The sequence below is a fragment of the Homo sapiens genome, chromosome 1, assembly GCF_000001405.40.
Source record: "Homo sapiens chromosome 1, GRCh38.p14 Primary Assembly".
Classification (NCBI taxonomy): domain Eukaryota; kingdom Metazoa; phylum Chordata; class Mammalia; order Primates; family Hominidae; genus Homo; species Homo sapiens.
This window is the reverse complement of record NC_000001.11, coordinates 51,998,481-52,011,594: the sequence shown is the minus strand read 5'-3', so window position 1 is coordinate 52,011,594 and position 13,114 is coordinate 51,998,481. Positions and strand designations below refer to the sequence as shown.

The window sequence follows — 13,114 nt, the reverse complement described above, 5'->3', positions numbered from 1 at the left end:
GGATTTATCTAAGAGGAGCCATTTGGGTGGAATTGTGAAAGCAGAAGCTGGAGTGGAGCGGTAGAGGCTGAAAAAAAGAATACGAGCATTCGAGACCAGCCTGGGCAACACGGCAAAACCCCGTCTCTACAAAACAGAGTGGGGTGTGGCGGAGCTACCTGTGGTCCCCTCTACTCAAGGGACTGAGGTGGGAGGATCACTTGAGCCCAGGAGCCGGAGGTTGCAGTGAGCTGAGATGGTGCCACTGCAGTCTAGCCTGGCTGACAGAGTGAGACCTGGTCTAACAATAATAATAAGAGTTCTCTAGCAAGCAGACTCAGAATAAATAAATAAATAGGAAGAATAAGAGGTGAGGAAAGGCTAACAGCATGGAGTCAGGCTGGAGAGACACATAAGGCCAATAAGTACAAGTACTCTCACCATGATGCCCGGGCTGGTCTCGAGCTCCTGGACTCAGGCAATCCTCCAGCCCCAGCCTCCTGAAGTGCTGGGATTACAAGCATAAACCACTATGCCCAGCTTTACATTTGATTTTAAAACACATATTCCAATTTTCTCCAAAATGAATTATTTCTGAAATAAAGTCTGATTTAGAAACTGATCCATTTGGCTGGGCAGGGTGGCTCACACCTGTAATCCCAGCACTTTGGGAGGCCAAGGTGGGTGGATCACTTCAGGACAGGAGTTCGAGACCAGCCTGACCAGCATGGTGAAACCCCGTCTCTTATAAAAATACAAATATTAGCCAGGCGTGGTGGCACATGCCTGTTGTCCCAGCTACTCCGGAGACTGAGAATCGCTTGAACCCAGAGGTGGAGGTTGTAGTGAGCCGAGATTGTGCCACTGCTCTACAGCAGGGCAGACAAAGTGAGGCCTTGTCTCAAAGTTTTTTTGATATTAGATTGCTGTGATTTTTGGGCATATAACTCAGAGTTCAAAGAATTTAATGCCATTGCAATGAAGAAACGCTTTCTATTCCCATATAATTATTTTTAGATACAGAATCTCACTTTGTTGCCTAGGCTGAAGTACAGTTGATACAGGAGTTAAGAATAAATTACTTAGGCAGCTAGTAAGGGAATGGGAGTCCTTAGTAAGGCTTTTCTTTTCTTTTTTTTTTTTTTTTTTTTTTTTTTTTTGAGACGGAGTCTCGCTCTGTCCCCCAGGCTGGAGTGCAGTGACGCAATCTCGGCTCACTGCAAGCTCCGCCTCATGGGTTCACGCCATTCTCCTGCCTCAGCCTCCCGTGTAGCTGGGACTACAGGCGTCCACCACACATGGCTAATTTTTTGTATTTTTAGTAGAGACGGGGTTTTACTGTTTTAGCCAGGATGGTCTCGATCTCCTGACCTTGTGATCTGCCTGCCTCGGCCTCCCAAAGTGTTGGGATTACAGGCGTGAGCCACCGCTCCCAGCCTCTTTTTTATTTTTTGGAGACAGAGTCTCACTCTGTCACCCAGGCTGGAGTGCAGTGGCACGACCTCAGCTCACTGCAACCTCCGCCTCCCAGGTTCAAGCAGTCAGGATTTTCTTTTTAATAAAAAGCAGCCCCAAATCATTTTCTAACAAAGAGCAGCCTGTAAAATCCAGCCGCAGACACAGACAAGCAAGCTGGGAGCTTGCACAGGGGAACGCTGGCAGGAACTAGGAACTAGACATGTTCAAGATGGCGGCTCCATCTCCCCTTTTCTGCCAGCCACAGTACAGTAAGAAGCAGACAAGATGGCGCGGATCAACTGGAAAGTCTATTTGCATAATAAGATTAGGGTTAGGCAACCAGCCTTCCCTGCCATCATACCTGATGGAACCAATCTGTGAGGCCTATGTAAATCGGACACCACTTCCTCAAATCTAACTATTACATTTGGGGCATCTGGCAGGGCTCGGTGGCTCACGCCTGAAATCCCAGCACTTTGGGAGGCCGAGGCAGGTGGATCATCTGAGGTCAGAAGTTCAAGACCAGCATTACCAATATGGTGAAACCCTGTCTCTACTAAAAATAAAAAAATTAGCCGGATGTGATGGTGGGCACCTGTAGTCCCAGCTACTCGGGAGGCTGAGACAGGAGAATTGCTTGAACCCAGTAGCTGGAGGTCGCAGTGGGTCGAGATGGAGCCACTGCACTCCAGCCTGGGCCACAGAGTGAGATTCCTCTCAAAAAAGAAAAAAAAAAAATTGGTGTATTCACCACCCCTGGGTCTTTGCCACTTGGAGACTCCTTCCTCTGTAGAGGAAGCTGTTTCTCTTTCTTTTCTTCCTTTTAAACCTCTGCTCTTAAACTCCTTGTGTCTGTGTCCTAAATTTTCCTGGCACACGACAGTGAACCCCAGGGTATATACCCCAGACAAAACGTAGCCGATTCACAGTGACCTGATCATAGCTCACTGTAACGCTGGAATCCTGGTCTCAAGCAATCCTATCACCTCAACCTCCTGAGTAGCTAGGACTACAGGCATGTGCCACCATACCTGGCTACTTTTTTTTTTGATAGAGGCAGTGTCTCTATATTGCCCAGGCTGGTATTGAACACTTGGCCTCAAGCAATCCTCTTGCCTCCCAAAGTGCTGGGATTATAGGTGGGAGCCACTACGCCCAGCCTCTCAGGTACTTTTTATGTGAAGATTGTTTCTCAGCACTAATATCTCTAGAAGTAATTACTGTTAAGAAAAAGCATTCAAAACTTTGTTGTTGTTGTTTTGTTTTGTTTTGTTTTGTTGAGACAGGGTCTCACTCTCTTGCCCAAGCTTGAATGCAGTGGCTTGATCACAGCTCACTGTAGCCTGTGATCGACCTCATAGGCTTATGCTATCCTCCCACCTCAGCCTCCCAAGTAGCTGGGACTACAGGTGCATGCCACTAGCCCAGCTAATTTTTGTATTTTTTTTTGTGGAGATGGGGTTTCACCATGTTGGCCAGGCTGGTCTTGAACTCCTGACCTCATGATCCACTCGCCTCGGCCTCCCAAAGTGCTGAGTTTACAGGTGTGAGCCACCACGTCCTGCCTGTCATATATTTCTTTAGTATTTCATCATGTTGCCCAGGACGGTCTTGAACTCCTGAGCTCAAGCAACCCACCAGCTTCGGCCTCCCAAAGTGCTGGGATTATAGGTGTGAACCACCTTGCATAGGAGTTCAAAACTTTTAATGTAATTGTAGAGCATTTTTGTAACAAGCCTGTCTAAAGTTACCTGACACCAAGAGTTTTTTTTTTTTATTGTTAATTACGATCCAGACATTTTACAACTTTATAGAGTTGAATTTTAATTTATAGGACACTAATTATATGTGAATGATTTCTTTCCTAAGGGGAAGATAATCTCAAATGTTATGACTTTATTGACTGTAAGTCATTAACCAGTTTTATATCTGATTTAGCAATCTTACTTTAGTATTCCTTTTTGTCACTGACAATATGTATGTATGCAAGTTTTTGTATCCTTTGAATTGGTTTGTCTTCTTGCTGGTCTTTGTTAATGAATTAATTAAAATGTTGGTATGTGTTCAGAATCTGTTTGAGAGTTATGTTTTTAATTTTTTTTTTTTTTTTGAGACAGAGTTTCTGTCTTGTTACCCAGGCTGGAGTGCAATGGCATGATCTTGGCTCAATCCTGACCTCAGGTGATCCACCCGCCTTGGCTTCCCAAAGTACTGGGATTATATGTATGAGCCACGTGCCTGGCCAAGTTTTTAACATTTTTGAAACTGCCATTGCAGAATTGTAACTGAGACAGTGAAAGGAATCTGACCTAGCCAACTCCCTCTTGCATCTAACTTCCAAGCTGTCCTTGTTCATTCCTGGGTGTATGCCCGAACTAACTTTGGAGGAACTTAGTTTATAGTTTAACTTTGAAACAAAGACGATTACAGCCCTTTTCCAAAACAAACCCCCTCTTCCTTGGGGACTAGACTGCCTTTGTAGGACTAACAAAGTAGTCAAAGGATTAGAAATTATGGTTTAGGTGGAGTCATGCAGCTGGAGGCTATAAGATTCTGACCCTCCCCAAATTGCCCCTGGGGATAACATCATTATTATAAAACCTCACATCAGTGCTTGAGATATTTTGCAGACCCTGCACTTGATGGATCAGCTGGCACCACCCAGATCGATAAAATGGCTAATCTGGTCTTGAGGTCCCCACCCAGGAACTGACTCAGCAAAAGAAGACAGCTTTGACCACCTATGATTTCATCTCCAACCAAGCCAATCAGCAGTCCCAACTCACTGGCCTCCCCCACCCTCCAAATTATCCTTAAAAATTCTGATCCCAGAATGCTTGGGGAGACTGATTTGAGTAATAATAAAACTCCAGTCTCCTGTACAGATGGCTGTACATGAATTACTCTTTCTCTATTGCAATTCCCCTTTCTTGATAAATCAGCTCTTGTAGGGGTGGGTTGCCCCTCCACACCTGTGGGTGTTTCTCGTAAGGTGGAACGAGAGACTTAGGAAAGAAAAAGACACAGAGACAAAGTATAGAGAAAGAAATAAGGGGACCCGGGGAACCAGCGTTCAGCATATGGAGGATCCCGCCAGCCTCTGAGTTCCCTTAGTATTTATTGATCATTCGTGGGTGTTTCTCGAAGAGGGGGATGTGTCAGGGTCACAAGACAATTGTGGGGAGAGGGTCAGCAGACAAACACGTGAACAAAGGTCTTTGCATCATACACAATGTAAAGGATTAAGTGCTGTGCTTTTAGATATGCATACACATAAACATCTCAATGCTTTACAAAGCAGTATTGCTGCCCGCAGGTCCCACCTCCAGCCCTAAGGCGGCTTTTCCCTATCTCAGTAGATGGAGCATACAATCGGGTTTTATACCGAGACATTCCATTGCCCAGGGACCGGCAGGAGACAGATGCCTTCCTCTTGTCTGAACTGCAAGAGGCATTCCTTCCTCTTTTACTAATCCTCCTCAGCACAGACCCTTTACGGGTGTCGGGCTGGGGGACGGTCAGGTCTTTCCCTTCCCACGAGGCCATATTTCAGACTATCACATGGGGAGAAACCTTGGACAATACCTGGCTTTCCTAGGCAGAGGTCCCTGCGGGCTTCCGCAGTTTTTGTGTCCCTGGGTACTTGAGATTAGGGAGTGGTGATGACTCTTAAGGAGCATGCTGCCTTAAGCATCTGTTTAACAAAGCACATCTTGCACCGCCCTTAATCCATTCAACTCTGAGTTGACACAGCACATGTTTCAGAGAGCACGGGGTTGGGGGTAAGGTTATAGATTAACAGAATCTCAAGGCAGAAGAATTTTTCTTAGTACAGAACAAAATGGAGTCTCCTATGTCTACTTCTTTCTACACACACACAGTAACAATCTGATCTCTCTTGCTTTTCCCCACAAGCTCTGTCTAGGCAGCGGGCAAGGTCAACCCATTGGGTGGTTACAAAGTGGGCACAGGAAGATTGTGGATTATGTGAGTTATCTGCACAGGAGGGCTATGTGTCCTGGACCATGAAGAAAGGCAGACTTAGGGCTTATCTGCCTTGTCTTTTTGCTTTTCCCTGCTCCGCCAGCCTAACGCCTTTTCCCTAATTCGGACTCCACAATTAGGTTAAGATTCTGTGGGTGTGTTGCGGTAAACTGAGGAACAGAGAGACTGATATGGGAAACCAGGAGGATATTTATTTTAAGGTACACACCAGCTCAGTGGATTCACATCCAAAAACCTGAGCCTTGAACAAAGACAGAGCAGGGTTTTTATAAGCAGGCTTACAAAAGCAAAACAAAGGCAGTTAATCATACAGTGCATAACTTGTGGCCTTGCATAGCTGGTGGCCTTGTAGCTGCGTCGAAAGAAAAACAAGAACTGGCTAAATACAGACATTTGTAAAACATAGTCATGCTTAAGAAGCCAGGGAAAGGAGTAACAGTAAAGGAATTTGTCTTCCTCTCTTTTTTTTTCCGTCAACCTTGCTCTGGAGGGAGGGGGTGGTGTCTGGAGCCCATTCCTTTGGCCTTGGTTTTTCTGAGTGTTATCTTATAACTGTCCTTGAAGTGAGCTGCTAAGCAGAGGAAAACTTGTTCTTCTTTTCTTTTTCTTTTTTTTGAGACAGAATCTTGCTCTGTCACCAGACTGGAGTGCAATGGCATGATCTCGGCTCACTGCAACCTCTGACTCCTTGGTTCAAGGGATTCTCCCACCTCAGCCTCCCGAGTAGCTGGGATTACAGGCACACACCACCACACTCAGCTAAGTTTTTGTATTTTTAGTAGAGACAGGGTTTCACCATGTTGGCCAGAATGGTCTCGATCTCCTGACCTCATGATCCACCCACCTCGGCCTTCCAAAGTGCTGGGATTACAGGCGTGAGCTACCATGCCCTGCCTTCTTCTTTTCTTTTTTAACCCTTGCCTTGCCACATTCTGGGCCTTAGCTTTTACTTTTCTTGGAGTGAATAAATGCAGCACTTATTATTTTTTAATTTCTGGCTCAGGTGGAGTGAAAGAAATACAAGTTCAAAGGGAAACGAAATGATGTAAAATTTCCAGCTATTAACAAGGACTTGTGCATGTATTAGTTTTAAGTGGATAATCTGGGTATCAAATTTCTGTCGTATTTAAAGTGTAGTGTATACATATTGAAAAGTGAGGCCGGGCGCGGTGGCTCACGCCTGTAATCCCAGCACTTTGGGAGGCCGAGGAGGGCAGATCACGAGGTCAGGAGATCGAGACTATCCTGGCTAACACGGTGAAACCCCGTCTCTACTAAAAATACAAAAAATTAGCCGGGCGTGGTGGTGGGCGCCTGTAGTCCCAGCCACTCGGGAGGCTGAGGCAGTAGAATGGCGTGAACCTGGGAGGCGGAGCTTGCAGTGTGCCGAGATAACGCCATTGCACTCTGGCCTGGGTGACAGAGCAAAAATCTATCTCAAAAAAAAAAAAAAATCACTCCTTGTTATACATGGTGTCCATTCCCCATTCGTATTTTATTATTATTATTTTTTTGAGACAGAGTCTCGCTCTGTTGGCCAGGCTGGAGTGCAGTGGCGCAATCTTGGCTCACTGCAACCTCCGCCTCCCGGGTTCAAGCAATTCTCATGCCTCAGCCTCCTGAGTAGCTGGGAGTACAGGTGCATGCCACCACGCCCAGCTAATTTTTGTATTTTTATTAGAAATGGGGTTTCACCATGTTGGCCAGGCTGGTCTTGAACTTCTGATCTCAGATGATCCACCCACCTCAGCCTCCCAAAACGCTAGGATTACAGGCATAGCCACCATGCCCAGCCACCCCATTCATATTTTAAAGTCCTAATCCAAGTACTTCAGAATGTGACTGCATTTGGAGATGAGGTCTTTAAAGAGGTAATGACGTTAAAATGAAGTCATATAGGTGGGCCCTAATGCAATAGCACAAGCATCCTTATCAGAAGAGGAGGTTGGGACATAGTTGAACACGGAGGGAAGACCACTGGAAGACACAGGGAGAAGTAGGCCATCTACAAGCCAAGGAGAGAGGCCTCAGAAGAAACCAATCATGTTCTCAGACTTCTAGCCTCCAGACTTAGAAAACAAATTTTTGTTGTTTAAGCTACCCTGTCTGTGTTACTTAGTTATGGCAGCCCTAGCAAATGAATTCACTCCTTTTCACCCCCATCATTACTACCATGGTCTAAACCATCAGCATTTGTTGCCTAGACACTTTCAGTGTAAGATCCACCATCGGGATGGCGCTTTTATCTGTCTTCTTGTTCACTGATATGCCTTCAAAACCTAGTATATTGAATGTCATGAAGATATTGTGAAAGAGGCCAGGCTCGGTGGTTCACACCTGTAATCCTAGCACTTTGGGAAGCTGAGGCGGGTGGATCACCTGAGGTCAGGAGTTCGATACCAGCCTGGCCAACATGGTGAAACCCCGTCTCTACTAAAAATACAAAAATTAGCTCGGCATGGCAGTGTGCACCTATAACCCCAGCTACTTGGGAGGCTGAGGCAGGAGAATCACTTGAACGCTGGAGGCAGAGGGGTTGCAGTGAGCCAAGGTCTTTTTTTTTTTTTTTGAGACAGAGTCTTGCTCAGTCACCCAGGCTGGAGTGCAGTGGCGTGATCTCAGCTCACTGCAAGATCCACCTCCCAGGTTCACGCCATTCTCCTGCCTCAGCTTCCTGAGTAGCTGGGACTACAGGCACCCGCCACCACGCCTGGCTAATTTTTTTTGTATTTTTAGTAGAGATGGGGTTTCACCATGTTAGCCAGGATGGTCTCGATCTCCTGGCCTCATGATCCACCCGCCTCAGACTCCCAAAGTGCTGGGATTACAGGCGTGAGCCACCATGCCCGGCTGCCAAGGTCTTGCCACTGCACTCCAGCCTGGGTGACAAAGCAAAACTCTGTCTTAAAAAAAAAAAAAGGATATTGTAAAAGAAAGAAAGAAAAAACAAAACCTAGTGTATAGGACCTGGTGTGTGTGTGTGTGTGTGTATTATATACATGTGGTGTATGTATATATATATATATAAATATATATAGCCATCCCACAAGTATTTATTGAATATATATGTATATATATAATGTCTGAGGTCCAAAAGTAGTACAAAGGAAGGGGTGATTAAATTATCTCCAAGTAAGTTGGATGGGATGACAGGATGTGTAGGAAGGAATTTTCTAGATTAGGAAGGGGTATTGAGGAAGTCACCTAAGAAAGAGACAAAGGCTTGGGCAAAAATGCTGAGATTTAAAGCAATTTCTGAGAACTCTAAGTCATTCCGTGTGGCCAGAGCACAAGGACCAAGGGGATTAGTTGGTTGAAAATAAAGTTGAAGATAAAAGAATTTAATCATATTTGCTAAGGAGGTTGGATTTTATCCTGTAGTACAATCAATATCACTGACTTTTTTCCAGTTTTTCCATTTAGATCTGTTTTGTACTTTATTATCCACGAATACCTGGAGAAGTCATTTAACCTTGCTGAGTTTCAGTTTTCTCTTCTGTTGAATGGTTGATGAGACATGAGATAATATATGGAAGTTACCTCAGAAGGTTCCCGGAATATAGCAGGTGCTTAACAAACACTAGTTCCCTGCCATTCAGCCCATATAACCAGGTTGATTTCAGCACCATGGTTACTGGTCAGTCCAGAGAGAGTACAGTTCCAATTTCGGACACAAGAGGGAGTATGAGACTTACCTTTGCCGAAGGTCACAGGCTTGCCTAACAGCCTCCCTTACTTAGCAAGCCCTCCAGGAAAGACAAATAGGAGACATTCTTCCAAAATTAGAAAGGCATCTGTCTTATTTTTGTTTTTCTGAGAAACAGAGGGTCTCACTCTGTCACCCAGGCTGGAGTGCAATGGTGCAATCACTCCTCAACCTCCCTGGGCTCAGGTGATCCTCCCACCTCAGCCTTCTAAACAGCTGGGACTACAGGTGCACCTGTAGGTCACCACACCCAGCTGACTTTTGTATTTTGTAGAGATGGGGTTTCGCTATGTTGCCCAGGATGGTCTCAAACTCCTGGGCTCAAGCAATCCCCCTGCCTCGGCCTCCAAATCACAGGGATTACAGGCATGAGCCACCGCACCCGGCCTACTCTGACTTGTTTTATAGATACTAAGCCATTGGTAACCGTTCTTCATTCCCTGGACACATATTTGAAGGTGGACTCATTGGCAAGCATAATGTACTTAGTTATCATGCTGAAAGTAGCTGATGTTATTCAATAGTCTAGTATGCACCACCTATTTTACATACATTATCATCTTTAATTTAACTCTCAATGAGCCAGTGAAATAATCCTTATCCTCATTTTACAGATAAGCAACCTATGGTCTAGAGAAATTCAATCACATAATTAGTGAATGGTAAAAGTTGGATTTGAACCCAGAACTGCCTGTTTCCAAAACTTAAGTTTATTATATTATATTAATTAATTAATTTAATGTATTTATGTATTTGAGATAGGGTCTCACTCTGTTGCCCAGGCTGCAGTGAAGTGGCACAATCAGGGCTCACTGCAGTCTCGACCTCCTGGGCTCAAGTTAACCTCCCACCTCAGCCTCCTGAGTAGTTGGGACTCTAGGTACGTGCCACCAAGCCTGGCTAATTTTTTTTATTTTTAGTCAACATGGGGTTTCGTCATGTTGCCCAGACTGGTCTTGAACTCCTGGATTCAAGCAATCTGCCCACTTTGACCTCCCAAAGTGCTGGGATTACAGATGGAAGCCACCGCACCCCGACGATTATACTTATTTTAATTCAATTCCCTCATTTAACAGAGGTCATCCAGAAAGGGGTCTGGTCAGTGGTGGATGATGTGAGACCAAGGAAGAACTTTGTGCCTAGGGTGAGCACAATTTTTTTTTTTAAGATGGAGTCTAGCTCTGTCACCCAGGCTGGAGTGCAGTGGCACAATCTAGGCTCACTGCAACCTCTGTCTCTTGGGTTCAAGTGATTCTCGTGCCTCAGCCTCCCACGTAGCTGGGACTACAGATGCACGCCACCATGCCAGGCTAATTTTTGTATTTTTAATAGAGATGAGGTTTCACCATGTTGTTCTGGCTGGTCTCGAACTCGTGAGCTCAAGAGATCCTCCCACCTCGGCCTCCCAAAATGCTGGGATTACAGGCATGAGCCACTGTGCCCAGCCAAGGGGGGAAGGTTCTAGTTAGTTGTTTACCCGTTGTCTTGCCCTGGGAAAACCACTTGTTCTCTCTGCATCTTAATTTCCTAAATCATCTCTAAAATGGATTGATTCTTTTTCATCCATCAGGTCTCAACTAAAATGTCACTTCCTCAGAGAGGCTGTCCCTGTTTAATCATCCTAAGATAATCATCTCTTCGGCATATTTCCTTAAATATGGTTATCACCATCTGAAATTATCATAGATAATTTGTGTACTTATTGTTTGTCTCTTCTCTGCAGATTCCTAATTTCTGTCTGAGCAGAGGTTCTGCCTGTTTAGTTCACGTTTGTGTACTCTGTGCTTAGTACAATGCTTGGCACATACTAAGTGATCAACACATCTTTGTGCAATGAATGAACGAATAATATAATGATGAAGAACTAGGACCAGAGGGTGGAAGCTACAAACAGGCAGATTTTAGCAGAGGACTTTACTAACAATAAGGGTTATCCCAAGGCAAGGTGGTCTGCCCTAGAGAAGGTGGTCTCCCCATCCTTGGAAGTGAGCAGATTAGGGCTATAGAGGGGGCCCCATGTTGGTTTGGTGGAGGGTTGATTTGAGGTTCCTCTGGCTCCTCATTAAAACCTTGATTAAGTTTTAAACTAATACTCCGATAACAGGATGCTATCCAGTCATTGTGTTAAATTATGGAATGGGTATTCTCTCTGTTTAATAACTGGAATAAAAGAGGCCCAAAGGGCCAGGGAAGCAGACACAGGGGACGGATAGTGCTAGATTCTGCTTCTGGGCTCTGTGGGAGAGGCCTGACTGAGACAGTAATGGCCTCTATTAAATTTAAATACAATAAATAAAGTATAATAATTATTTCCAGAGCAGTTGCTGCTTTTACCACCATTCCCCTTCTTCTGGCCCCTCTGTCCCCATGACTGTCTCTTTTGTTCTCTTTCACACAGCAAATGACACTACCCAAGTTAGAAAGCTCTCCTGGTTGCCTCAATTTTCTTTTGCCTCATCTACATCCAATCAGTCACCAAATCTTGTTTCTTTCATGTCCCAGTGCATTTCCCAGCTCAGGTCTTATAATCTCTCTTTCTTTTGTTGTTGTCGAGGTGGGGTCTCGCTTTGTTGCCCAGGCTGGTCTCAAACTCATGGATTCAAGCGGTCCTCTGGCCTCAGCCTCCTGAATAGCTGCGACTGTAGGCGCATGCCACTGTTCCTAGCTATTTTGTTTTGTTTTGTTTTTTGGAGGTAGAGTCTTGCTCTGTCGCCCAGGCTGGAGTGCATGATCCTGGCTCACTGCAACCTCTGCCTCCTGGATTCAAGTGATTCTCTTGCCTCAGCCTCCCAAGCAGCTGGGACTACAGGCTTGTGCTACCACGCCCGGCTAATTTTTTGTATTTTTAGTAGAGACGGGTTCTCACCATGTTGCCCAGGCTGGTCTTGAACTCCTGAGCTCAGGAAATCTGCCCACCTCGGCCTCCCAAAGTGCTGGCATCACAGACATGAGCCACTGCACACAGCCAGCTGAGCTATTTTGAAGTCACTCCACCAGCATTTTCTCTGGTGTCCCTGCTCCCAGTATCTTGGAACCTCCAATTCAATCCCTATTGTGCAGGCTATAAGATCTTTTTAAAACACAACTTTTGCCAAGTCTTCCCCTCGGATAAAGGCCTGTAACAGCCCTGCACTGCCCTGATCATGGAATCCATTGTGCTTAGCATGGCCACCGAGGCCTTGCCTGACCTCTGGCTCCGACTTAGCTCTTCTGCCTCACTCATCACTTGCTGCTCTGCCCATTATGCCTATGCTTCTAGAGACTCCAAGTTCTCTGAAGACTTCACATTATTTCACACCCTTTGGGCCTTTGTTCATGCTGGCCCATCTGCCTAGGTGGCTTCTCCATGCATTTAACTCCTACTTTTCCTTGGGGCTCAGTTTAATTAATTCTTAAGTCTACATCCCAGGACCTAGCACGGGGCCAGGTCTAACATCTCAGGTTCCTCTCTGCTGATCTGTCCCACTGTGAGAAAATAGTCATGTCTCACCAAATCTCTTATTGTGGCTAATTTGAGTCCTGGTTTTCCTTGCTTTCAGTAGCTAAGAAACCATGGGCCAGTTACTACTTGCTCACATCTAAGATGGCATGAATCAGTCCCAACTTCACAGGTTCATTGTGAAAGTTAAATGAGATGGCAGATATGAGAAGAAATCCTTTGTTAATACTTATGTACTTATTTATTCAGCATCAGTATAAGTATTTAATATTTATATACTTATCCCTGAGCTCTTCTAAGAATGGTTTAGGAGGCCCTGTGTTGGGTACTAGTATGGCCTTTCCTCTTGTGGAGTACAGATTAGTGGATCTTATAGTCTACTGTCCTGCACCAGACACTGAGTTCCTTGGGTCAGGGACCATATGTTATTCGTCTCTGCACAGCAGGTGTTCGGGAGATATTTGCTAGCTGGGTGAGTGAACCAGCGATTTATTGAATAAATGACTGAATGGCATTCTAGGTAGAGA

At 45.2% G+C, this 13,114-nt stretch overlaps 2 annotated features.

Annotated features, from left to right (window-relative positions):
- Positions 4,064-4,358: an enhancer, noted in NCBI's record as "tiled region #8174; K562 Activating DNase unmatched - State 8:EnhW, and HepG2 Activating non-DNase unmatched - State 3:PromF". NCBI's record gives its function as "activates a minimal TATA promoter and a strong SV40 promoter by Sharpr-MPRA in K562 cells, with weak activation in HepG2 cells {active_cell/tissue: HepG2 | K562}" and the evidence as "EXISTENCE:reporter gene assay evidence [ECO:0000049][PMID:27701403]".
- Positions 5,992-6,836: an enhancer, noted in NCBI's record as "H3K27ac-H3K4me1 hESC enhancer chr1:52470431-52471275 (GRCh37/hg19 assembly coordinates)". NCBI's record gives its function as "activates a minimal SCP1, AML or CMV promoter by ChIP-STARR-seq in primed H9 embryonic stem cells {active_cell/tissue: H9 hESC(primed)}" and the evidence as "EXISTENCE:reporter gene assay evidence [ECO:0000049][PMID:30033119]".